General features: G+C 58.1%; 1 protein-coding gene and 2 long non-coding RNA genes across 14 annotated transcripts, besides 4 other annotated features; 1 reads left to right on the top strand and 2 right to left on the bottom strand.

The window, feature by feature from the left end:
* Nucleotides 1-807: 807 nt before the first annotated feature.
* LOC107985337 (uncharacterized) lies at nucleotides 808-5,883 on the bottom strand. The gene is made up of 3 exons (XR_001753835.2): nucleotides 5,766-5,883; nucleotides 4,849-4,993; nucleotides 808-1,438 (listed from the first exon to the last, which is right to left on the bottom strand). It is a non-coding gene; the product is annotated as an uncharacterized LOC107985337 (long non-coding RNA).
* Nucleotides 9,153-9,232: a silencer, noted in NCBI's record as "silent region_9727". NCBI's record gives its function as "represses an Ori minimal core promoter by ATAC-STARR-seq in GM12878 lymphoblastoid cells {active_cell/tissue: GM12878}" and the evidence as "EXISTENCE:reporter gene assay evidence [ECO:0000049][PMID:35858748]".
* Nucleotides 10,072-10,441: a silencer, noted in NCBI's record as "silent region_9726". NCBI's record gives its function as "represses an Ori minimal core promoter by ATAC-STARR-seq in GM12878 lymphoblastoid cells {active_cell/tissue: GM12878}" and the evidence as "EXISTENCE:reporter gene assay evidence [ECO:0000049][PMID:35858748]".
* Nucleotides 10,266-18,263, top strand: ADAMTSL5 (ADAMTS like 5). Of its 12 annotated transcripts, none has more exons than XM_047438756.1 (13): nucleotides 10,266-10,322; nucleotides 12,125-12,209; nucleotides 12,368-12,440; nucleotides 12,555-12,646; nucleotides 12,857-12,917; nucleotides 13,027-13,135; nucleotides 14,715-14,842; nucleotides 15,176-15,287; nucleotides 15,642-15,728; nucleotides 15,880-16,043; nucleotides 16,357-16,546; nucleotides 16,624-16,695; nucleotides 16,969-18,263. In XM_047438756.1, exons 10-13 carry the CDS (start codon nucleotides 15,885-15,887, stop codon nucleotides 17,268-17,270), a joined length of 723 nt encoding a protein of 240 aa, XP_047294712.1. In that variant the 5' UTR covers nucleotides 10,266-10,322; nucleotides 12,125-12,209; nucleotides 12,368-12,440; nucleotides 12,555-12,646; nucleotides 12,857-12,917; nucleotides 13,027-13,135; nucleotides 14,715-14,842; nucleotides 15,176-15,287; nucleotides 15,642-15,728; nucleotides 15,880-15,884; the 3' UTR covers nucleotides 17,271-18,263. The 12 variants fall into 12 exon arrangements, with proteins under 12 accessions (XP_047294712.1, XP_047294711.1, NP_001354126.1 ...); XM_047438755.1 differs by having other exon boundaries at nucleotides 15,642-15,740; NM_001367197.1 differs by lacking the exon at nucleotides 12,125-12,209 and adding an exon at nucleotides 11,558-11,660.
* Nucleotides 14,171-15,293, bottom strand: LOC124904609 (uncharacterized). The gene is made up of 2 exons (XR_007067084.1): nucleotides 15,169-15,293; nucleotides 14,171-14,621 (listed from the first exon to the last, which is right to left on the bottom strand). It is a non-coding gene; the product is annotated as an uncharacterized LOC124904609 (long non-coding RNA).
* Nucleotides 14,692-15,541: an enhancer, noted in NCBI's record as "H3K27ac-H3K4me1 hESC enhancer chr19:1507743-1508592 (GRCh37/hg19 assembly coordinates)". NCBI's record gives its function as "activates a minimal SCP1, AML or CMV promoter by ChIP-STARR-seq in primed H9 embryonic stem cells {active_cell/tissue: H9 hESC(primed)}" and the evidence as "EXISTENCE:reporter gene assay evidence [ECO:0000049][PMID:30033119]".
* Nucleotides 15,168-15,367: a silencer, noted in NCBI's record as "silent region_9725". NCBI's record gives its function as "represses an Ori minimal core promoter by ATAC-STARR-seq in GM12878 lymphoblastoid cells {active_cell/tissue: GM12878}" and the evidence as "EXISTENCE:reporter gene assay evidence [ECO:0000049][PMID:35858748]".

Raw genomic sequence — 24,601 nt, 5'->3', positions numbered from 1 at the left:
CTCCCCCGGAATCGTGGGGGTGGTTGCTCCAAGCCCTGCCCCAGACTCAGGTGCACCCCTTTCCTGGTGAGGTCTTCCCTCACCCTTCCACCCAGCCTGGGACACAAAAACGGGCCTTGTCCCCATTGTACAGGCAAGACATTGAGACCCAGGGACGCAAAGTCGCTCAGTCAGCCCAGGAAAGGGCAGCGCTGGGTTTGAATCCCGGCAGCCGCCCCTGGACGCCTGCGGTATTAATCCCCAAATGTTACATAACACCAGGAATGGGGAGGGGTTACCAGGCTCCGTGGGGCTGGAATTTTCCAGGGACCAGATTTCGGAATCTGGCCCGGCCACACCACTAGGGACAGGAAACACCTTCTGAGCCGTCACGTGTCCACCTGGTGTCACGAATGGGGCCCCCGTGCATTGGACGGGGCTGAGCTCGGGCACCTTTGCGGGGTTTCTGGTCCCAGGGCCAGGGCGGAAGATTCCTGGCCAGCCTGGGGCCACCGGGTTGCAGCTGGGGAGCCCAAGTCCCCTGCTGATGAGAATCAGGTGAGGTGGCTGCAAGGTGGGCTGCTCGGGGCCCGAGTGTCTGAGCTGTCACACGACTGTCACCCTGGAATCCTCCAGGGGCAGAAAGCCAGTTCCTTGCTTTTTTTTTTGTTTGTTTGTTTTTTTGAAAGAGAGTCTTGCTCTGTCACCCGGGCTGGAGTGCCGTGGTGTGATCTTGGCTCACTGCAACCTCCATCTCCCGAGTTCAAGCAATTCTCCTGCCTCAGCCTCCCAAGTAGCTGGGACTACAGGTATGCACCACCACACCCAGCTGATGTATTTATTTATTTGTATTTTTAGTAGAGACGGGTTTCACCATGTTGGTCAGGCTGGTCTCAAACTCCTGACCTCAAATGACCCGCCTGCCTCGGCCTCCCAAAATGCTGGGATGACAGGCGTGAGCCACCAGGCCTGGCTTCCGGTTCCTTCCTGATAGCACCAGTCCATCCTGGCATCAGTTCAGGCATTTGTTAAGCACTTACTGCATATGGGCCTGTGTCAGGCTGTGCGAGCCCAAGGCAGACCCAGCCCTGTCCTCGTAAAAGGACCACTGCTTAACGGACTGCAAGAACGTCCAAGACTTCACCAAGTCAGGGGTCAAGGAAAGCTTTGGAGGTGGAAGGAAGTGAGCCAGGCCCGTTCTGGGCAGTAACTTGTCCCTGAGGCAGGTGCTGTTCTTAGCCCTGTGTTACAGATGAGGAAACTGAGGCTCCGAACGTCCGGTGCCAGCCCAGGATCACCGCGGACTGCATGTGGCTGAGCCTGGAGTCTAGGTGGGAGTGAATCCAGAGCTCCTGGTCCCCCCACAATAGGTCTGTCCCTCTTTCAGGCTGCCAGCCCCAGCAGTCCCAGGGAGCAGTGCCAGGCAAGGCCCTCGTGCTGAGGCGGGTGTCTGAGCTTCCTAGGGGGAAAGAAATCAGAGTTCCTGGCCCAGAGCCTCGCAGCCCGCCTGTCAGCTGATGCTCCTTGCACAGAGACCGGCTCGCCCTCCCTCTCCCCTGGCCGCCCGCGGCTTTTCCTGGCTGAGACTCCACTATGGAGCTGGGAAAGGCCTCCTAGTCCCAGCCTGTGCCCCTCTGAGCAGGGACTCTGTCCCCCAGCCTATGTGAGCCCTCCTAACCAGCTGTCCCCATCCCCCGCCCTGCCCCAGGCTGGCTGCTCACCACAGCCTTGCCCCAGGGGAGTTTTGGGGGGCTAAGGATGAATGCCCCCAAAGACACCCCTCAGCTCTCCCTGAAGGCCTCTTACACAGATTAGGGGATGGGGAGGGACTGCTGTTGGGTACAAGTCTCCTTTTGAGGATGAACTGTTTTAGAATTAGATAGAGGGGGTGCTTGTTCAACACTGTGAGGGCAGTAAATGCTGCTGAATTGTGCATTTTAAAAAGGGTAAATTTTATGTTATGTGAATTTCACCTCAAAGGTTAAAAAAAAAAAAAAAAAAAAAGAATTGGCCGAGCCCTGTGGCTCACACCTGTAGTCCTAGCACTTTGGGAGGTCAAGGCAAGAGGATCACTTGAGGTCAGAAGTTCGAGACCAGCCTGGCCAACATGGCGAAGCCCTGTCTCTACTAAAAATACAAAAATTAATCGGGCGTGGTGGCTCACACCTGTAATCTCAGCACTTTGGGAGGCCGAGGCGGGCAGATCATGAGGTCAAGAGATCGAGAGCATCCTGGCTAACATGGTGAAACCCCGTCTCTACTAAAAATACAAAAAATTAGCCGGGTGTGGTGGCGGGTGCCTGTAGTCCCAGCTACTCGGGAGGCTGAGGCAGGAGAATGGTGTGAACCTGGGAGGCGGAGCTTGCAGTGAGCCGAGATCGCGCCACTGCACTCCAGCCTGGGCGACAGAGCGAGACTCTGTCAAAAAAAAAAAAAAGGGAAAAATATATTAGATTCCCTACCCCCTAAAACACATAGTCCTACTAATGCCCCAGTTTACAGATGGGGAAACTGAGGCACGGCTTGTGTGATGAGCACAGGATGCCGTTTTGCAAAGGGGCAGGGCAGGGTTCAATGGGGCCACCTGGCCCTCCCATCCTACCCCCTGCCCTGGGTTCTTGAGGCCTGGGTGGTCTAGCACTGCAGCCCCTGTACCCCCAGCACCTCTCACATCCCAGACCACAGGCTCGATTTCCTCTCCAGTCTCTGTTCTTTTGCTGACCTGAGAAAACCACAGACTCAGCGGATTTTGCGGAGAAGTGCCGGGAAGCTTTGCTCAAAATACCTACTGCAGGTGGAGGCGTGGCAGCTGAGACAGCAGGCACCCGACTCCCTGGAGGCCCAGGAGGCTCATGGGGCTGCCTCCGAGGTCAGCGGCGGCCCAGGCCTCCCCAGCACCCTCCTTCCGGCAGGCGCCAGGGTGGAGGCCACCAACCAATGTGACTCAGCCCAGCTCCCTGGTCCCTGCCTGGTCTCCTGGCCTTTACCAAGCACCCGTGGGTCTCACGTGCCTGGACGCCTGACCACGCAGGTGCCCAGGGACCCATGGCCCTGGGAGCAGAGCAGGCAGGAGACGTACCACCACCACAGGGCTCCAGAGACCCCCACTGATTGTGGTTTATGCTGCACGACATGGCCCAGTGTGAGCGCAGGAGGGGGCGTCCAGACTTGGTGCCCCGAAACCAAGCCCTGTTCTTCCCTCTCTCAACTCTGTTTCCTCCTAAAAGCACTGTTGTCCAGATGCAGGGCTCATGCCTGTAATCCCAGCTACTCTACTCGAAAGGCTGAGGCAGGAGGATCCCTTGAGTCCAGGAGTTTGAGACTAGCCTGGGCAACACAGCGAGATCCCCTTCTCTACAAAAAATAAACAGTTAGCCGGGTGGAGTGGTGCACGCCTGTGGTCTCAGCTACTTGGGAGGCTGAGGTGGGAGGATTGCTTGAGCCCAGGAGGTTGAGGCTGCAGTGAGCTGTGATGGCACCACTGCACTCCAGCCTGGGTGACAGAGCAGGACCCTGTCTCAAAAACAATAATAATAATAATTAATAATAAAAGTGGCCGGGCGTGGTGGCTCAGGTTTGTAATCCCAGCACTTTGGGAGGCCACGGCGGGTGGAGCACGAGGTAAGGAGATCGAGACCATCCTGGCTAACACTGTGAAACCCCGTCTCTACTAAAAACACAAAAAATTAGCCGGGTGTGGTGGCGGGCGGCTGTAGTCCCAGCTACTCGGGAGGCTGAGGCAGGAGAATGGCGTGAACCCGGGAGGCGGAGCTTGCAGTGAGCCGAGATTGTGCCACTGCACTCCAGCCTGGGAGACAGAGCGAGACTCTCTCTCAAAAAAAAAATTAAAAAAAAAAATAATAATAATAAAAGCACCGTCCTCTCTTGTCCTCTGGGACACCCCTGCTCCTGATGTTTTCCCATCTTTTTTTTTTTTTTTTTTCAGATGGAGTTTTGCTCTTGTTGCCCAGGCTGGAGTGCAATGGCGCAATCTCGGCTCAGCACAACCTGTGCTTCCCGGGTTCAAATGATTTTCCTGCCTCAGCCTTCTGAGTAGCTGGGATTACAGTCATGCACCACCACATCCAGCTAATTTTGTGTTTTTAGTAGAGACCGGATTTCTCCATGTTGGTCAGGCTGGTCTCGACCTCTCAACCTCAGGTAATCCACCCACCTCAGCCTCCCAAAGTGCTGGGATTACAGGTGTGAGCCACCGCGCCTGGCCCCTTCCCATCTTTCTGGATGCATTTTTCCAGTTCTCCTTTAAGCCACCTCCTCCTTCTCCTGGGAGCCTGGGGTTCAGTGTTGGGGCCTCTCACCCACTCTCTTCACTTCCTCCACTGACATTGTCCAGGTGGGTGGCTTTAGCACTGGCAGCTGGGGCAGGTTACTCAACCCTCCTGGCCCATCTGTGTGGGTTCCCCCAAAGGCAGAGCCTGAAGCAAGGCTTTAGTGCAGAGAGTTGGTTCAGGGAGCAGGGTGGGAGCTGGGTACCCCCGGGGCACCCTGAGTCCCACACTCATCAGGCACCCTCTGAGGAACTGAATACAACATTCCCCAGAGTTGACCACCCAAGATGAGGACACAAGGCCAAGACATCAACCTTCTGGCCTTCCCATTTGTCCTCAGACGCACACCAAGCTCACCCTGCCACAGGGCCTTTGCATGTGCTGTTCCCTCTGCCACCCTCCCAGACTTTGCCTGGCATCCTCTTCTTAGCTTTTAGGCCCAGGCAGGAAAGGGCCACCTGTGCCCAGGAGGCCGCCCCTGCCCCAAGATGCCCTAGACGTGATCCATGCCTGCTTCTCCCCAGTTCCACCACAACCCAGAATGATGGTTTCCTTGCTAGCTTGCTGGTGTCTGTCCCACCTGACAGGGAGCGCCAGTGGCAGGGAGAGGGTCTGTATCTCCATTAGGTGCTGGGTGGACACTCAACCCCGTGCCCCTTCTCTCCATGGACGCAGCATCGACTTCCCATCAGGGATACTCATCAACTCCAGCCGTGTTCAAGGTGCTGCATGGGCATCAGAACCCACCCGATTACCACAGAAATAATCCATTTTTAATCTGCATGGGTCTTTTTACTAATTATGAGACAAATAGTTCAATGTCTTATGGAATCCAGGAACAGAAAAAGGACATTTGTTTAAAAAAAAAAAAAAAAGGCTGGGTGCAGTGGCTCGCGCCTGTAATCCCAGCACTTTGGGAGGCCGAGGTGGGTGGATCATGATGTCAGGAGATCGAGACCATCCTGGCTAACACAGTGAAACCCTGTCTCTACTGAAAATACAAAAATTTAGCCAGGCGTGGTGGCACACACCTGTAATCCCAGCTACTTGGGAGGCTGAGTCAGGAGAATGGCGTGAACCCAGGAGGCAGAGCTTGCAGTGAGCCGAGATCACGCCACTGCACTCTAGCCTGGGAGACAGAGCAAGACTCCATCTGAAAAAAAAAAAAAAAACAAAAAAACAAGCCTGGTGAAATCCAAATCCAAATAAAATAACATTTGGAATTTAGTCAATAATCATGAAATAGTAATTGTTATCACCTTTTTTTTTTTTGAGACGGAGTTTCGTTCCTGAAACCTTGTCTCTATAATAATAAAAATTTTTTAAAAATTCTAAAATAAGGTTGGGAACAGTGGCTCATACCTGTAATCCCAGCATTTTGGGAGGCCAAGGTGGGAGGATCACTTGAACTCAGGAGTTTGAGACCAGCCTGGGCAACGTGGCAAAACTCCACCTCTACTAAAAATACAAAAATTAGCTGGGTATAATGGCACTCACCTGTAGTCCGAGCTACTTGGGAGGCTGATCCCAGAGGATTGCCTGAGCCTGGGAAGCAGAGGTTGCAGTTAGCCAAGATCGCACCACTGCAGTACAGCCTGGATGACAGAGCGAGACCCTGGCAAAAAAAAAAAAAAAAAGTAAGAAACTAAAAATTGCTAAAGTGAAAAAAAATGGATGAATGCCTTCAGATGAGGCTCAATCCAGGAACTCAAACAACCTTCTCAGAAATCTAGACTTTTGGGCTGGGCACGGTGGGTGGCACATGCCTGCAATCTCAGCAGTGTGGGAGGCTGAGGCAAGAGAATCACTTGAGTTCAGGAGTTCGAGACCAGCCTGGGCAACAGGGGGAGACCCCCAACTCTACAAAAAATATAAAAATTAGCCAGGCATGGTGATGCATGTCTGTAGTCCCAGCTACTTGGAAGGCTGAGGTAGGAGCATCTCTTGAGCCCAGGAGTTTGAGACCAGCCTGGGTCGGGACAACATAGCAAGATCCTGTCACTACTAAAGATCAAAAAAATTAGCCAGATGTGATGGCATGCATCTGTAGTCCCAGCTACATGGGAGGCTGAGGTGGGAGGATCGCTTGAGCCCAGGAGGTCAAGGCTGCAGTGAGCTGTGATTGCACCACTGCACCCCAGCCTGAGCGACAGAGCAAGACCCTGTCTCAAAAAAAAGTAAAAAAAGAAAGAAAAGGACAGAAAGATAAAAAGAAAAAAAAGAAATCTGGCCCCTTCCATTTGCTGCCGTCTGTCAGCATCTGCTTGAGACAGTGCATCTCTTCGAGCAGTCAAGAAAGTCCAGCCTACCTCAACTCACGCCATCCCTGGAGCCCACCCCAGCCACGGGAAACCACCTTTTCCTCTAATGGCCCAGTTCAAGTCCCAGGGCAGGCTCTCATTGGCCCACTTGGGTCACATGGTCATCCCCCAGCCAATCCCCGTCTCTAGGAGATGGAATTATCTGTTTGGCCAAGCATGGGTTACGTCATACACAATGGAGGAGGTGGGCCAGTCCACCTGATCCACGTCGCCTGAAAGTGACAGAACAGGTGGTTTTCAGCACGTGAAGGTGGAGGGGAAGGGGCACCCTGGGGAGGCCATGTCACAGGCCTGGAGCCTGGGCAGTGGGGTAAGAAAGCAAGAGGTCTCTTCCAGGAATTCTGGACGGTGCCCGGGGCACTGGGTGCCTGCAGGGAACAGATTCCGAGCGTGCACAAGAAACCGGCACAGAATGAGGACCGGGCGAGCAGCGGCCAAGGAGGGTCCAGGGCCCTGAGTCCCATGGGGTGACTCCAGCCGGGGAGGGTCCCAACTCTGCGTGGCCCCTGCTGGTGCCCAGGAACAGACGGACAGCCCCAGGGACCGGGGGGTCCAGGGGTCTGTGGGGCAGGGATGGGGAGGCCCCACCCAGTCCACGCAGGAGGTTGAGGTATCCTGGGACCACCGTGTCCTAGGTTTTGCATTTTTAGTAGAGACGGGGTTTCACCTTGCTGGTCAGGCTGCTCTCGAACTCCTGACCTCAGGTGATCCACTGGCCTTGGATCCCCAAAGTGCTGGGATTACAGGCGTGAGCCACCGTGCCCAGCCCAGTGTCTGCAATTTGATGAGTTTGCACATATGCAGTCACCACACTCAAGATGACAGGCCTACCTGTCACTTCCCGAGGTCCCTTGTGTCCCACTGTTTTTGTTCTTTTATGGTAAGAACCCTTACCATGAAATCTACCCTGTGAACACAGTTTGAAGTGTGGGGTACCATACTGTTCACTGTAGCCCAGTCACACAGCAGATCGCGGCATTCCTTAAGCCTCAAGGCCATACAACCATGAAGGAAATGGAACCTAATTGATCCACATCCGCCGGGACCCGCGTCTCAGTCTCCCCTCTAGCCCTGACGCTGCCTCAAGGAGGGGGTCCAGGCTGAAATTCAGAGTAGGGGGACTCGGCTGATTCCTGGGTCAGGGTCCAGGCAAGGGCAGGGGAATGTAGTAAGCTGGGACCCCGCCCAACTGGGACCCCAGGAGCCTCTGAGCCTCAGCAGCCACCCCCTCCACCTACACCGGGTGTCTTAGGCTGAGCTCCCAGCCTCCTCCTAGGGACATCCAGAGGACAGAGGTGGGAGACGGTAGGGGACAAGAACTGGGGGTGGGGGGCAGCCCTCCACATCTTCACCACCACCTCTGCCAATCTTGCCAGCTCTAGAGCCCCCACGCAGGGTGCAGTGGCTGCGGTATGCACTCCCAGGAGGGAACAGGGGCTGCGGGGTACACTTTCCATAGAACTCAGTGCCTACTGTATGCGCTCCCTGCAGGAGACAGCGCCTTATGTATACCTTCCTTGCAGGATGCAGCACCTGCTGTATACCTTCCTTGCAGGATGCAGCACCTGCTGTATATACTCTCTACAGGATGCAGTGACTGCTGTATGCACTCCTCTGAAGGTGCCATATCTACTGTATACACTCCTTTGCAGGGCAGAGTCTACTCTATGCATTTCTACAAGATGCAGCACCTGCTGTATACCCTTCCTGCAGAGCATAATGCCTGCTGTGTGTGCTCCCTGTGGGCGCTGTGCTTTCTGTATACCTTCCCTGCGGGGCACAGGGCCTGCTGTCTGCACTCCCAGTGGAGCTCTGTGGACTGGACATCTGGGAATGGGGCACATCTGAGGAGGATACAATTGTCCTAATGACACATTGACACATGTCCTGAGCTGACTTCTTTCTTTCTTTCTTTCCTTTTTTTTTTTTTTTTTTTTTTTTGAGACGGAGTCTCGCCTGTCTCCCAGGCTGGAGTGCAGTGGCGTGATCTCGGCTCACTGCCACCTCTGCCTCCCGGGTTTAAGCGATTCTCGTGCCTCAGTCTTCCGAGTAGCTGGGATTACAGGCACTCACCGCCATGCCTGGCTAAGTTTTATATTTTTAGTAGATACTGGGTTTCACCATGTTGTCCAAGCTGGCTTCAAACTCCTGACCTCAGGTGATCCGCCTGCCTCGGCCTCCCACAGTGCTGGGATTCCAGGCATGAGGCGCCGCGCCCGGCCTGCCCTTCTCTCTTGACCCCTTCAGTGAGGGCCTTCTTGACATCCCCGCAACCACCACCCCCCAACCTGGGGCCATCAGTGGTGGGCCTGGGCTATTTTCTCCAATAGTCCAGGTCAGAAGGTGGGGGGTCATACATTCCAGGGGGCTGCCTTACCCGCTGGCCTGGGACTGGCTGGGTTGTTCACAGCTGTGCACACAGTAGGTGCTCAATAAATGGCATATGGGTGGCTCTGCTGACATGCTACAGGCTGGAGGGCAGACTGAGTTGGACCAGCAACACCCTGTATGTCCCCAGCAAACCTCTCTCCCTGTGGTCAGCGCTGTGGGACAGCAGGGTGGGCTTCCTGGAGGAGGGGGTGCTCAGACCGAGCCTGGGTGGAGCCCAGGGAGCAGGACAGTCCCTCCACCCCCTCCTTTAGTGCCCCAGTCCCTCAGCCCGCCCGCCAGGGGGCGCCGTGGGGCGACACCAGAAACTGGTGGAGCCCAGAACCCAGGGCCTGGTCTCATCCCTGCGTGGGTGGGCACGGGGCGGCTCACAGACGCCCGGCGGGAAAGGGTGGGGTGGGGGGAGTCCCGGGGTGCCCCCTCGCGTTGCCGGTCCGCGCAGAGCCGGATTCCAGATGGAAGGTTCGCGGTGGAGATCCCTGCCGGGCCCACTGCTGGGATGGGGAAACTGAGGCCGGAGAGGGTGTGGCCGCGGCTGTGAGGGAGAGGGACCGCCTGGACCCGGGTCTGGCTCTGAAGCCCCGCTGGCAGCCCCGGGGCCCGGCAGGGAGGGCGGGAGGCGGGGTGGGGCGCGTCCCCTGGTGACAGCAGCGCCCGGGAATGCGCCAGCTGGGAGGGTCTCTCCGCCCCCCGCGCGCGGCCCACGGGGCCGAGCCTCTCCCCAGTGCGCTGGGGCCCTGCGCTGGGGGTGACCGGGACCTGGGTCGGGGAACCCCCGGATGGGAGCCCAGGCGCGCCAGGGTCCCCATCCACGAGCAGGTCGACCCCCCGCGAGAGGGGTGAGGGGCAGGACCAGGGGAGGGGGCTGTGACCGGGGATGGGGACGCCGGTGGGACGCAATCCGGGCGTCGGCGGGGTAGGGGCAGCGCCCGGGACTCCCAGACCCAGGGCGGGGTGACCTCGGTTCGCGCACATTCCCGGGCCCTGAGCGCGGCGCCCGGAATAGCAGCCCCGGGGCAGAGGAGGGCGGTCAGTCCCCGCGCCGCGCCCCCGCCCGAGCCTGCCAAGGTCACCCGGACCCGGGCGCCCGACACCAGCCTGCGGCTCCGGGACCCCTGCGCTCGCGTCCGCCGGGCAGTCCCCTGCCGCAGATCCGCGCCCGCCGCGCGAGGGCGCCCGGGGCCGCCGCCCCTCCTGACCCGGGCCTGGGCGCGCCTGCGGAGGCCGCGGTGGGAGGGACCGTCCCAGGCTCCCCACCCCGCCCAGCACCTTGGGCCCCGCCGCTTCCGCTCGCCCTGGGGCCGCTCAGGGAGCCGGGACGCGCTGCCTGGGCTCCGCGCAGCCGGTAAGTCCATCTGCCTATCCTCCCACTTTCTCCGGGGGAAACTGAGGCCCAGAGGTGCGGCTTGCCTTGAGATCCCTCCGCCAGTCCGGGCTGCAGCCCACACGGGGAGGGGAGAGCCTTGATTCTGGGCAGGGCCCATTGAGGAGGGGGTAGGGTGGTCCTTGTAGCCCCCCACTTTTCACCACCTAGACCCCCACTCCTCAAACCAGGCTTAGAGTCCGGTGGGGGTGGTCAGAAGGTCAAGCCCCCTCCCCCTGTTTTTTTTGGTTGGTTGGTTGTTTTTGAGACTGAGTCTCACTATGTCGCCCAGGCTGGAGTGCATTGGCCCCATCTCGGCTCACTGCAACCTCCGCCTCCTGGGTTCAAGCGATTCTCCTGCCTTAGCCTCCCAAGTAGCTGGGATTACAGGTGTGCACCACCACACCGGGCTAATTTTTGTGTTTTAGTACAGATGGGGTTTTACCATGTTGGTCAGGCTGGTCCCAAACTTCTGACCTCAGGTGATCCGCCTGTCTTGGCCTCCCAAAGTGCTGGGATTACAGGCGTGAGCCACCGCACCTGGCCCCCCTCCCCTTGTTTTAAGTTTCTGGTGCAGACTTCTTCCTGCTTCCTGGGCCAGCCCAGGCTCTAGGCTCAGAGAGGGGCACGGATGCAGCAGACCACACAGCTGTCTCAGTACCTAGAGATACCCAGGACCCTAGACCCTTGGTGCCTCAGAAGTCCAAATGCTGGAGCCAGGGAAACAGGGTCCAGGTGGGACCCAGCCTCTTCCCCAGCTGGTGCCCGGGCCGGGGCTCACCCACCTGCCTTCAGGCTCTGCTGGCAGCAGGACGCCCTGGCTCACTTGGCGGCTGCTTCCCTTCCCCCCTCTTTCCCCCTGCAGGCTGGGGTCATGAGGAGGGTGTGGATGGCAAGTGACTTCATCCCTGCCCTGACAGGATGGAGAAACTAAGGCCCAGAGAGGCAGTCAGCCTCCTCCCCTTCCCTGCTCCAGCCTCAGCAGTGGCCCCTTCCCTCCACGGGCTGCCCCGGAGCTCAGTCCCACCCCCTCCGCCGATGAGGCCATGAGGCACCGAACGGACCTGGGCCAGGTCACCCCCTCCCTGTCCCATCCCCAATCCGGGGGACTCCCTGCTGTCTGGGAGCTGAGGGAGCCCTGGGGCCGGGGTGCAGCTGAGGGCCTCTTCTAGGGACCCAACTCCTGATCCAGCCCCTGCCGGCCGCACCTTCCGCAGGGTGTCACAGAATCATGGACTGAGTCCACTTGGCCCCCACTGCACAGATGGGGAAACTGAGGCCTGGGAGAGTGGAGTGGCTGGCCTCAGGCCACACGGAAAGGTAGAAGCAGTGATGGTGGGGAGGGCGGGGAGGGGGCCCCAGCCCTAGGAGGCACCTGTGTACTATTTTTGAATGATCCCTCCAATCATCAAGCATCGATTAAGCACCTACTGTCTGCATTATAGCACAATACACATATCAATAATATTGTAGGCTGGGTGCAGTGGCTCATGCCTATAATCCTAGCACTTTGGGAGGCCAAAGCAGGTGGATCACTTCAGGTCAGAAGGTTGAGACCAACCTGGCCAAGATGGTGAAACCCTGTCTCCACTAAAACGGCAAAAATTAGTCCGGCGTGGTGGCAGGCACCTGTAATCCTAGCTTCTCGGGATGCTGAGGCAGGAGAATTACTTGAACCGGGGAGGGTTGCAGTGAGCCGAGATCGCACCCCTGCACTCCAGCCTGGGCGACAGAGCGAGACTCCGTCTCAAAAACAAACTAACTAACAACAATAATAATTGCAGATGACATTCTGAGTTCTTCCTCTCCATACCGGGCTCCACGTCTCCTGTCTTCTTTACCTGATCCACAGGACCCCTCAACTTTCCTGTAAGGGAGGCTCTATTACCCCGTTTTTCAGAGACGAGAGGTAGGGCTCAGAGAGGTTTAGTTACTTTCCAAGATCACACAGCCAGTCAGGGCAGAGCCGGGACACAACCCTGTGTCTCTGGCGGTGGCTCTATGGACTCGGCCCCTCTGTTCCCCAGGCCCCACCTCTTCCAGAACCTCCTGCTCTTCCTGTGGGCCCTGCTGAACTGTGGTTTGGGGGTCAGTGCTCAGGTAAGGGGGGGCATGAGCCCAGGGGGTGGCGAGTGGGAATGGGGACCCAGTCAGCAGTGTGGGGTCACCAGCGTCCCCCTACAAGGCTGACCGTGCCTCTGTCTCCCCAAGTAGGGTCCGGGCGAGTGGACCCCGTGGGTGTCCTGGACCCGCTGCTCCAGCTCCTGCGGGCGTGGCGTCTCTGTGCGCAGCCGGCGCTGCCTCCGGTGAGCGGGGCCCGGAGGGGGTCCCTGCCCCTCCTCCCCCGCCGGCCCAGCCCGGCCCCTGGCCGCACCCTCGGCCTGCCCACACATGCTGTGCCCTTTAATCCCCCTGATCCCGCTGGAATGCGGGTGGGGTTGGCGGGGGCGGAGGGTGGAAGGCCAGCCCTGGGAGGGGGTCCCTGGGGGTTCTCGCCACACTCTGTCTCCCTTCAGGCTTCCTGGGGAAGAACCGTGCTGGGGAGACTCCCATGAGTACCGCCTCTGCCAGTTGCCAGTAAGCCCTGCCCACCTCCCAGACCACTCTCCCACCCCAGACTGCCTGAAGCCCACCACCTGCCCCTTGGGGTTGTCCCAGCCTCTGGCTCACCTATCTCTGTCCCTAGGACTGCCCCCCAGGGGCTGTGCCCTTCCGAGACCTACAGTGTGCCCTGTACAATGGCCGCCCTGTCCTGGGCACCCAGAAGACCTACCAGTGGGTGCCCTTCCATGGGGGTGAGTAGTCTGGTCTCCTGTGGTCAGAATTGGTCCAGAGCGAACAACTCATTAGTCTCAGGGAGAGGGTCTTGGAGGGTTGCAAAGAGAAGAGGGTATTAGTGCTAGGGCTTTGAAGGATATGTAGGAGTTAGTGAAACAGAAACAGCATATGTTAGGCGTGAAACAGGGGCAGAGGGAAGCAGGGTTCATTCTGCACAGGGCTGAACACCCAACTAAGGATTGACTTAGAGCTGTATCCAGAGGCCAACACTTCTCAAACTTATCCCAGTAGCAGGAAATGTTGCTGCATTGAGCTGAAAATAGCGAGTTATATAACTACGTGCCCGGGTCAGTGCGCCTCCAGATTTCAGGGAGACAGGCAGCTTCACACGCCATGGGGAAGGCAGACACAGATATAAGAAAAGCCTAGAATGGACAAAGTGCCATCCATCAACCTCATTTCCTTCCTTCCTTCCCTTTCTTCCTTCCCTTCCTTCCCTTTCTCCCTTCCCTTCCTTCCTCCCTCCCTCCCTCCCTCCCTCCCTTCCTTCCTTCCATCAATCTGAGAATTGGAGGAAACCTGCTGTGATCCCACCCCCGCAGAGGCCCACTAGGGCCAGCCCAGGATCCGTTCCAGGCAGGGTCCACCAGCCAGGCTCAGGGAAATGGGAGCCAGAAGGAGCTGGAGAAGGAGGAGTGGAGATCAGGGCTGTCGGCCTTTGTGTTTGATCAGACAGCTCATTTTGCCCCACTTCCAGGCAGAAGGGGAAACTGAGGCCCAGGGAGGACCAGCGACACAGCTCAGTTGTGCGGGACTCAGTCCAGTCAGTACTGGACAAACACTTCATTGGGTACTTGCTGGTGCCTGGGCCAGATGCTCAGATCTTCTTTTTTTTTTTTTTTTTTTTTTTTTGAGATGGAGTCTCGCTCTGTCACCCAGGCTGGAGTGCAGTGGCATGATCTTGGCTCACTACAGCCTCCACCTCCCTGGTTCAAGCGATTCTCCTGCCTCAGCCTCCGGAGTAGCTGGGATTACAGGCTCCCACCACCAAGCCTGGCTAAATTTTTATTGTTGTATTTTTGGTAGAGACGGGGGGGTCTCGCCATGTTGCCCAGGCTGGTCTTGAACTCCTGGCCTCAGGAGATCTGCCCACCTCAGCCTCCCAATGTGCTGGGATTACAGGCATGAGACACCACACCTGGCCTTTTTTAAGGCCATCCATCTGCACACTGATTGAATTCTTGCTTCTGTATCCTAGAGCTTGGAACAGTGTCTGGAAAACAGTAGGTGTTCAGTGGAATGAAGAATGAGTAATGGTGTTAAAAATGAATAATATGTAAGGACTCCTAATATAAAGACAATGAATGAATGAATGAATGAATGAATGCAGCCCCAGGATACTTGCCTGCGAGTCCCAGGTTGCTGGACGCAGAGCACCTACGGTCCAGTCCTGGCTCTGCCTCAGCCTCGATGTGTGGCTTTGGCCAAATCTCTGGGCTTCATCTGCCCAAAGTGATGGTTGCCTGATGAAGCTTGGTAGAGGGGGACTGGAGCTCGAACAGGGGTCCCCGGCCCACCGACTCCTCCTGCCCTCAGCGCCCAACCAGTGCGACCTCAACTGCCTGGCTGAGGGGCACGCCTTCTACCACAGCTTCGGCCGCGTCCTGGACGGCACCGCCTGCAGCCCGGGTGCCCAGGGGGTCTGCGTGGCTGGCCGCTGCCTTGTAAGGACTCGTCAGGCCCCGCCCGAGCCCCGCCCACCTCCCACTCAGGCCCCACCCATCCTAGGCTCCACCTCCGCCCTCCTCCCATTAGCCTCCACCCCCTCCCTAGGCTCCACCGCCTTCCCCCTCCCCTTCCAGGCCCTGCCCCCAGCCCCCCTTAGGCACCCACTCCCGGGCGCCAAGCCCATCCTCCTCCCGCCAGGTCCTGCTCCTCCCTAGGCTCCACCCCCATCTTCCCTCCAGGCCTCGTCCTCTTGCTCCCAGGCACTGCCCTTTCCCCAGGTCCTGCCCCTCCCAGCGTCAGTGACGCCGCGCCTGTCCTTCACCCTTTAGAGCGCCGGCTGTGATGGGTTGTTGGGCTCGGGTGCCCTCGAGGACCGCTGTGGCCGCTGCGGAGGCGCCAACGACTCGTGCCTTTTCGTGCAGCGCGTGTTTCGTGACGCCGGTGACTACCTGCCCCGCCCTCCCTGCACACACGTCAGAGTGGGCCCTTTAACGAGCCGTGGCCCGGAAGCAAATTTCCGTGCTGATTGGCCAGTGTGCGGCCCAGCCCCCCTTTCTCCTCATCCTGATTGGCTACTGACAGATTGTCCCGCCCTTCCCCAGGACAGATGGGGTTTTAACCCTTTCCCTGCCACACTGAAGCAATAGTAATTGTAACTCCAAACGTTTACGGAGGGTTTTCCGGTTCCCAGGACCCTGGCTAGCTGTCTTACCCGCAGTAGCTCATTAAATCCTCAAGTCATCGCTCAAATACACCCCCACTGGCACCCCAACACCCTCCTACCCTCCCACCCAGGTGCCTTCGCTGGGTACTGGAACGTGACCCTGATCCCCGAGGGCGCCAGACACATCCGCGTGGAACACAGGAGCCGCAACCACCTGGGTATCCTAGGATGTGAGGCGAGAGGCACCCGGCTGGGCACCCGGGGGCGGTTGTCCCTGTTTACAGATGGGGAGACTGAGGCCTGAGGAGGGGACCCCAGGGTCTGGGAGACGAGACGACAGGTTCCTGAGGGCTGACTGTTCCCTTGCAGCACTGATGGGGGGCGATGGGCGCTACGTGCTTAATGGGCACTGGGTGGTCAGCCCACCAGGGACCTACGAGGCGGCCGGCACGCATGTGGTCTACACCCGAGACACAGGGCCCCAGGAGACATTGCAAGCAGCCGGGCCCACCTCCCATGACCTGCTCCTACAGGTGCCACTGGGCCTCCAACAGGGTCAGAGGGGGTCGGCTGGGGACAGAGGGGAGAGGCTGGGGACAGAGGGTAGGAGTGGAGGTGACTGGGGCCAGAAGGGGGAGTCTGGGGTCAGAGGGGAGAGGCTGGGACAGAGCATCAGAGGGGGGAGGGTGGGGACAGGGTCAGAGGGGATCAGCTAGGGACAGAGCATCAGAGGAGGGAGGCTGGGGGCAGACAGGATCAAAGTGGGGAGGCTGGGGTCGTAGGGTCAGAGGCAGGAGGCAACCCCAGCCTCCTGTGAAGCTCCCTGTGTCCCCTCCCCTGCTCCAGGTCCTCCTGCAGGAGCCCAACCCTGGCATCGAGTTTGAGTTCTGGCTCCCTCGGGAGCGCTACAGCCCCTTCCAGGCTCGTGTGCAGGCCCTGGGCTGGCCCCTGAGGCAGCCTCAGCCCCGGGGGGTGGAGCCTCAGCCCCCCGCAGCCCCTGCTGTCACCCCTGCACAGACCCCAACGCTGGCCCCAGGTGAGGTGGGGACAGCCAGGGTGGGGGATGAGTGGGGACTGAGGCCTGTGCCCCTCACAGCACCGCCCATCCCACAGACCCCTGCCCACCCTGCCCTGACACCCGCGGCCGCGCCCACCGACTACTCCACTATTGCGGCAGTGACTTTGGTGAGACCCCCGACCTCTACCCTGACTTAGCCCCTACTAACCTGGCCTCCTCCTGACCTCTGACCCTAATCTGACTTTACCCTTGACCCCTTCTTCTGATCCTAATTTGCCTCTTGACCCTAATCCCTCATTGATCCCTGACGTGATCCTGACTCTAGTCCCTATAGATCCCGAGGTCCCACCTGACCCTCAGTCCCTCTTCTGGCAAGGGAGGGGGCGTAGAGATTTGCGCAGAGTTGAGCAGCCAGCCAGCTTAGCACGTCCCCTCAACAGTGTTCCAGGCCCGAGTGCTGGGCCACCACCACCAGGCCCAGGAGACCCGCTATGAGGTGCGCATCCAGCTCGTCTACAAGAACCGCTCGCCACTGCGGGCACGCGAGTACGTGTGGGCGCCAGGCCACTGCCCCTGCCCGATGCTGGCACCCCACCGGGACTACCTGATGGCTGTCCAGCGTCTTGTCAGCCCCGACGGCACACAGGACCAGCTGCTGCTGCCCCACGCCGGCTACGCCCGGCCCTGGAGCCCTGCGGAGGACAGCCGCATACGCCTGACTGCCCGGCGCTGTCCTGGCTGAGCCCCTGCAGGAGCCCCGGCCACACACAGCAAGAAAGATACATCTGACCAGCCTCAACGTCAACGTATTTCCCCTCTCACCCTGGCTTCCAGGCAGCTCTGAAATACGTCCCACCTGTGCAGCTATGTGACTCCCTCCCACACACGCTTAAGACACCTCTGCATGCAGTCAAAGCCACTGTCACAAGCCGGCAGGCACTGGTGAGGAGGCACTAAGGAGACTCTGACTTTTATTTCGCCTCTCTCCTTGGCTGCCAGGAAGCTCATAGCTATTTATACTCAGAAAGTTTAACGCTGCTTTCTTTCTCTTTGCGCGCGTCACACTTGCTTGGAGACACTGTCATGAACGAGCATGACACCCTGCTGCCCTGGGTACCCAGAAGATCATCTGTTTACTTCCCAGACACTGTGCTGTCTCTGCTCTCTGCTACTCACACACACCCTCATGTGTGAAGGGCAGAGACACTGTCACAAACAGGCATGCCCCTTAGAAGACATGCCTAACCAGGCACTGTAACGTACCAACGTACCAATTTCCCCTTTTCCCCTGGCTACCAGGAAACTCGGAGACAATCTTTTCAGCCTCAGCATTTCTGGCTGGATTTCCACCCATCAACACGTGCTTGCTCCTCCTTTTTTTTTTTTTCTGAGGTAGACCCTTGCTCTGTCACCTAGGCTGAAGTGCGGTGGTGCAATCATGGCTCACTGCAGCCTCAAATTCCTGGGCTCAAGCGATCCTCCCACCTCAGCCTCCACAGCAGCTGGAACTCCAGGTGTGAATCACCATGCCCGGCTAACTTTTAAATTTTTTGTAGAGATGGGGTCTTGCTACGTTGCCCACACTGCTCTCCAACTACTGGCCTCAAACGATCCTCCTGCCTCGGCCTCCCAAAGCACTGGAATTTCAGGCATGCACTATCGTACTGGCTGTTCACCCCCCTTTTATTCCTCTTTAATTTTTACAAGCACTTTTTAAAAAAAAATTTTACTTTAAGTTCTGGGTGTGTACAGAATGTGCAGGTTTATTACATTAGTATACACGTGCCATGGTGGTTTGTGGCACCCATCAACCCATCATCTAGGTTTTAAGCCCCACATGCATTAGGTATTTGTGCTAATGCTCTCCCTCCCCTCGGCCCCCACCCCACAAAGGACCCGGTGTGTGATGTTCCCCTCCCTGTGTCCATGTGTTCTCATTGTTCAACTCCCACTTGTGAGTGAGAACAAGTGGTGTTTGGTTTTCTGTTCCTGTGTGAGTTTGCTGAGAATGATGGCTTCTAGCTTCATCCATGTCCCTGCAAAGGACATGAACTCATCCTTTTTTATGGCTGCAGAGCACTTTTTTTTTTTTTAAGCACCCCAGTCACATGCACTCGGTCACAGAGACTCAGGGACACGCTGGTAGAACCCCGTCTCGACCTTGCTCATGGGTAGGCACGCATGTTCACACGCACCCCACCCCTCCTCCTGGTCCAGCCTCACCTCCTCCCTGCACGTCTGACACTGTGTGAGGTGAGGGCAGGGAATAGAGGAGGATAGGAGCAGGTGGGGAATGAATGGGGCTTTGGTAGGTCCTGAGCCTCCCCCAACTGCCACATACTTTCTCAGGCCCACCCTGGGAACCCCTCCCCAGGTGAGGAGGCAGGTGAGAGCCGCTGCTGTCTGCCAGCTGCCAGCCCGCTATGTTCTTCTGCAACCAGGAGGGCCGACACGGGCTGTGTGTGTACTAGGGGGTGTCACGAGGTCGCTCAGCAAACCCTCCTCCGTGGGGTGCCAACCCTCTGCCTCTGACGCCTGATGCATGGCTCATGCTGCCACCCGGGACAACCCACTCTGTGTGGGACCAGTGGTTGCATTTCTCCCTGGGGCCTGGGGTGCCTGGGGTCCATGGGTCCCCGCTGTCCACTGGGCACGGACAAGCTACCCCCACCAGGCAGGGAGCAACCAGAGAGGGTGAAGGGCAAGGAGGCGGCCGAGGCAGAGGGAGTCGGCAAGGGGTGCAGGACATTGGTGGACACGGCCCCTGATCTTGCAGATGACCCCAGGCCAGGTGCAGCCCCTCTCCAGCCTCAGTTTCCCGCTCAGTGAGTGATGCCCTCGAAGCCCCTCCCAGCTCTGACATGGGAGTTACACTTTCCTGGAGCCCTTCCCTAGCCCCCTTTTTCCTTCACACATTTCTGCAGCAAGTGCTTATTGAGCACCGACGGCATACCAGGGACCCAGCGGAGCCTGGGACGGCCCAGGCCTGGCGCTTCAGTGACGTGGTGCCTTCTGTGATTGATGTCTGCAGCACGCGCTGCCGGCGGGGGTCCCAGGGGCTCCCCAGCCAAGGGCCGCGGGTGCTGCAGGGATGAGTGGGGGCCGCAGTGCCCCCTGGCGGCAGGACGGGACATGAAGGGACTCCGGGCGCGCCTCGTGGCTTGTGGCCCCAGGTGCCCTGAGCCCACTTCCGCGTGGGCACTCGCTTCCCATTGGACGCGGGGCCCTCTCGCAGGCCTCCTCGTGACAGCACTGGCTCATGAGGCTACTGTCGGTGCCTGCCGGCACCCCACTGCCCTCCCTCCCCTGTCAGTCTGTAAGGCTGTCCCTTCTCCCCGGCTGTGGTTTGGGGTGTCCCAGGGAATGGAGGTTTCAAGGTCTCTCCCGGCCACGGACCCCCTGGGCTGCCCCGGCGCCTGGATCTCAGACAGTTACCCTAGGGGCTGCGCAACCGGCCAGGGGAGCTGACACTCGGAGAGTTTCCTCAACAGGGACCCCAGGCTGTGCCTGCGGCCAGGGAGAAACACGGAGGCGCTGGGAGAAACGCGCACCAGGTGTCCCACAGCCCCCACCGCCAGGAGCACGCCATTCCTGCGTGGGCGAGAGGACCCCAGCGTGATTTGAAAATGACAACATTGTTTCCAGTGAGAACCACGTAACCATCGGCAATAAACAGTCTCCAGATTTGCGCTTTAGCTTTAAAGCCGACAAGCGAACGTTTTGTTATCTTTGTTATTTTTATTTTTTTAGAGCCGGGGTCTGACTGTGTCTCCCAGGCTGGATTGCAACGGCGCATTCACAGCCCACTGCAGCCTCAACCTCCTGGGCTCCAGTGATCCTCCTGCCTCAGCCTCTGGTGTAGCTAGGACTACAGGTGCATACCACAATGTGTGGCTAATTTTTCTTTTCTTTTCTTTTTTGTAGAGATGGTGTCTCTCTATGTTGCCAAGGCTGGGCTTGAATACCTGGCCTTAAGCGAATCTCCTGTCTCAGCCTCCTAAAGCGCTGGATTACAGGTGTCAGACACTGCACCTGGCTGCCACTCTTTCCTTCTTTTATTTATTTTTATTTTTATTTATTGTTTGAGATGGAGTTTTGCTCTTGTCACCCAGGCTGCAGTGCAATGGCGCAATCTCAGCTCACTGCAACCTCCACCTCCCGGGTTCAAGCAATTCTCCTGCCTCAGCCTCCTGAATAGCCAGGATTACAGGCAACAGCCACCACGCCTGGCTAATTGTATATTTTTAGTAGAGACAGGGTTTCACCATTTGGCCAGGCTGGTCTCTAACTCCTGACCTCAGGGGATCCGCTTGCCTCGGCCTCCCAAAGTGCTGGGATTACAGGCATGAGCCACCGAGCCCGGCCTCCATTTGTTTAAAGACCCCTTTAGGCCAGCTGTGGTGGCTCATGCCTATAATCCCAACACTTTGCAAAGCTAAGGCAGGAGAATTGCTTGAGCCCAGGAGGTCGAGGCTGCAGTGAACTGTGATTGCATTGTTGCACTCCAGCCTGGGTAACAGAGTGAAACCCCCTATCTATTTGAAAAAATAAAGGCCGGGTGCGGTGGCTCACGCCTGTAATCCCAGCACTTTGGGAGGCCGAGGCGGGTGGATCACGAGGTCAGGAGATTGAGACCATCCTGGCCAACATGGTGAAACCCGGTCTTTACTGAAAATACAAAAAGCAGGTCATGGTGGCGCATGCCTGTAATCCCTGCTACTTGGGAGGCTGAGGCAGGAGAGTGGCGTGAACCCGGGAGGCGGAGGTTGCAGTGAGCTGAGATCGTGCCACTGCACTCCAGCCTGGGGGACAGAGAGAGACTCCATCTCAGAAAATAAAAATAAAAGTAAATAAATAAAAAGAGCTGGGCACAGTGGCTCACGCCTGTAATCCTAACACTTCGGAAGGCCGAGGCAGGAGGATCACCTGAGGTCAGGAGTTCAAGACCAGCCTGGCCAACATGGCAAAACCCTGTCTCTACTAAAAATACAAAAATTAGCTGGGCGTGGTGGTGCGCGCCTGTAATCCCAGCTACTGGGGAGGCTGAGGTGGAAGAATCACTTGAACCCGGGAGGCAGAGGTTGCAGTGAGCCAAGATTGCACTATTGCACTCCAGCCTGGGTGACAGAGCGAGGCTCCGTCTCAAACATAAAATTTAAAAAATACAAAATAAAAATAAAATAAAATGCCTGAGGGGCTAAAGGTCACATTTCCACCTGGTAAGACAAGTGTGTCCTCCTCCCCACCTGTGCTCCCTGGGTGTGCTGACCTGGGCAGGCCAGAGCCAGTTTTGCTGCTCCCCGCCAGTGAAAGTGAGGGACCATGCCAGGTGCAGAGCGAGCCTGGCACCCTCTCTCCTCCCTCAGGGCCATGACCAGACCACATTCTTCAAACCAGCTGGGCCAGTGATCGGCAGATTCTGAGAGCCCCGTCTGCCATCCCCGTGTGATCACCGACACAGGGTGGGGGGTGATTAATGATTACCCTTGCCCTTTGCTCTGATAAATCCTTCACCCCGAGTAAAAGACAAAGTCCCGGGCCGAGCACAGTGGCTCACACCTGTCATCCCAGCACTTTGGGAGGCCAAGGCAGGTGGATCACCTGAGTTTGGGAGTTTGAGAACAGCCTGACGGACATGGAGAAACCCTGTCTCTACTAAAAATACAAAATTAGCTGGGTGTGGTGGCGCATGCCTGTAATCCTAGCTACTCGGGAGGTGGAGGCAGGAGAATTGCTTGAACCCAGGAGGCAGAGGTTGCGGTGAGCTGAGATCCCACCATTGCACTCCAGCCTGGGCAACAAGAGTGAAACTCTGTCTCAAAAAAAAAAGACAAAGTGCACCCCCCGCCCCCAGTGCCTGTGTGGTGCAGCCCCGAAAACTCCCCTCCTCCCCCCTCCCCTCCTCCCTCCTCCCTCCTCCCCTCCTCCCTCCTCCCCTTCTCTGCTCCAGCCACAGGAGCCTCCTCTCTGTGCCTCCCACTCACCAGCGTGGTCCTGCCTCAAGGCCTTTGCACAGGCTGTGCCCTCTGCCTGGAACACTCTTTTTTTTTTTTTTTTTTTCAGAAAGAGTCTTGCTCTGTTGCCAGGCTGGAGTACAATGGTGCTATCTTGGCTCACTGCAACCTCCGCCTCCCGGGTTCAAGCGATTCCCCTGCATCAGCCTCCGAAGTAGCTGGGATTACAGACACACGCCACCATGCCCAGCTAATTTTTTGTATTTTAGTAGAGACGGGGTTTCACCATGTTGGCCGAGATGGTCTCAATCTCCTGACCTCGTGATTCACCCACCTCGGCCTCCCAAAGTGCTAGGATTACAGGCGTGAGCCACCGCACCCAGCCTTTTTATTTTTATTTTCTTGAGATGGAGTTTCACTCTGTCGCCCAGGCTGGAGTGCAATGGCACCATCTCCACTCACGGCAACCTCTGCCTCCCAGGCTCAAGTGATTCTCTTGCCTCAGCCTCCCAAGTAGCTGGGACTACAGGCATGTCCCACCACGCCTGGCTAATTACTGTATTTTTAAGTAGAGACAGTGTTTCACCATGTTGGCCAGGCTGGTCTCGAACTCCTGACCTCAGGTCATTCACCTGCTTTGGCCTCCCAAGGTGCTGGGGATTACAGGTGTGAGCCACCATGCCTGACTGACCACTGTTTTTCTTTTGGAGACAAGGTCTTTGGAGACGGGGTTTCGCTGTGTTGGCTGGGCTGGCCTCCAGCTCCGAACTGCGAGTGATCTGCCAGCCTCGGCCTCCTGAGGTGCCGGGATTGCAGACGGAGTCTGGTTCACTCAGTGCTCAATGGTGCCCAGGCTGGAGTTCAGTGGCGTGATCTCGGCTCACTACAACCTCCACCTCCCAGCCGCCTGCCTTGGCCTCCCAAAGTGCCAAGATTGCAGCCTCTGCCCGGCCGCCACCCCGTCTGGGAAGTGAGGAGCATCTCTGCCTGGCCGCCCATCGTCTGGGACATGAGGAGCCCCTCTGCCTGGCTACCCAGTCTGGAAAGTGAGGAGCGTCTCTGCCCGGCCGCCATCCCATCTAGGAAGTGAGGAGCGTCTCTGCCTGGCCGCCCATCGTCTAAGATGTGGGGAGCGCCTCTGCCCCGCCGCCCCGTCTGGGATGTGAGGAGCGCCTCTGCCCGGCCGCGACCCCGTCTGGGAGGTGAGGAGCGTCTCTGCCCAGCCGCCCCGTCTGAGAAGTGAGGAGACCCTCCGCCCGGCAGCCACCCCGTCTGGGAAGTGAGGAGCGTCTCTGCCCGGCAGCCACCCCATCTGGGAGGGAGGTGGGGGTCAGTCCCCACCCTGGCCAGCCGCCCCGTCCGGGAGGGAGGTGGGGGGGTCAGCCCCCCGCCCGGCCAGCCGCCCCCGTCCGGGAGGGAGGTTGGGGGGTCAGCCCCCCGCCCGGCCAGCCGCCCCGTCCGGGAGGTGAGGGGCGCCTCTGCCCGGCCGCCCCTACTGGGAAGTGAGGAGCCCCTCTGCCCGGCCAGTCGACCCGTCCGGGAGGGAGGTGGGGGGGTCAGCCCCCCGCCCGGCCAGCCGCCCCGTCCGGGAGGTGAGGGGCGCCTCTGCCCGGCCGCCCCTACTGGGAAGTGAGGAGCCCCTCTGCCCAGCCACCACCCCGTCTGGGAGGTGTACCCAACAGCTCATTGAGAACGGGCCATGATGACAGTGGCGGTTTTGTGGAATAGAAAGGGGGGAAAGGCGCGGAAAGGATTGAGAAATCGGATGGTTGCCATGTCTGTGTAGAAAGAGGTAGACACGGGAGACTTTTCATTTTGTTCTGTACTAAGAAAAATTCTTCTGCCTTGTGATCCTGTTGATCAGTGACCCTACCCCCAACCCTGTGCTCTCTGAAACATGTGCTGTGTCCACTCAGGGTTAAATGGATTAAGGGTGGTGCAAGATGTGCTTTGTTAAACAGATGCTTGAAGGCAGCATGCTCGTTAAGAGTCATCACCACTCCCTAATCTCAAGTACCCAGGGACACAAACACTGCGGAAGGCCGCAGGGTCCTCTGCCTAGGAAAGCCAGAGACCTTTGTTCACTTGTTTATCTGCTGACCCTCCCTCCACTATTGTC

Source organism: Homo sapiens, chromosome 19 (assembly GCF_000001405.40).
Source record: "Homo sapiens chromosome 19, GRCh38.p14 Primary Assembly".
Lineage (NCBI taxonomy): Eukaryota > Metazoa > Chordata > Mammalia > Primates > Hominidae > Homo > Homo sapiens.
The sequence above is the reverse complement of the archived record's forward strand: the minus strand, read 5'-3'. Positions and strand labels throughout refer to the sequence as shown.

What these genes read in the sequence shown, in the direction of transcription:
- ADAMTSL5 (XM_011527961.2), top strand. Translation starts at nt 11,605, where the DNA reads ATGGGGAAACTGAGGCCTGGGAGAGTGGAGTGGCTGGCCTCAGGCCAC. An exon ending in CGCAGCCGGCGCTGCCTCCG is followed by an intron (nt 12,647 to 12,856) that starts GTGAGCGGGGCC and finishes GTCTCCCTTCAG; the next exon opens with GCTTCCTGGGGAAGAACCGT. An exon ending in CCACCTGGGTATCCTAGGAT is followed by an intron (nt 15,741 to 15,879) that starts GTGAGGCGAGAG and finishes GTTCCCTTGCAG; the next exon opens with CACTGATGGGGGGCGATGGG.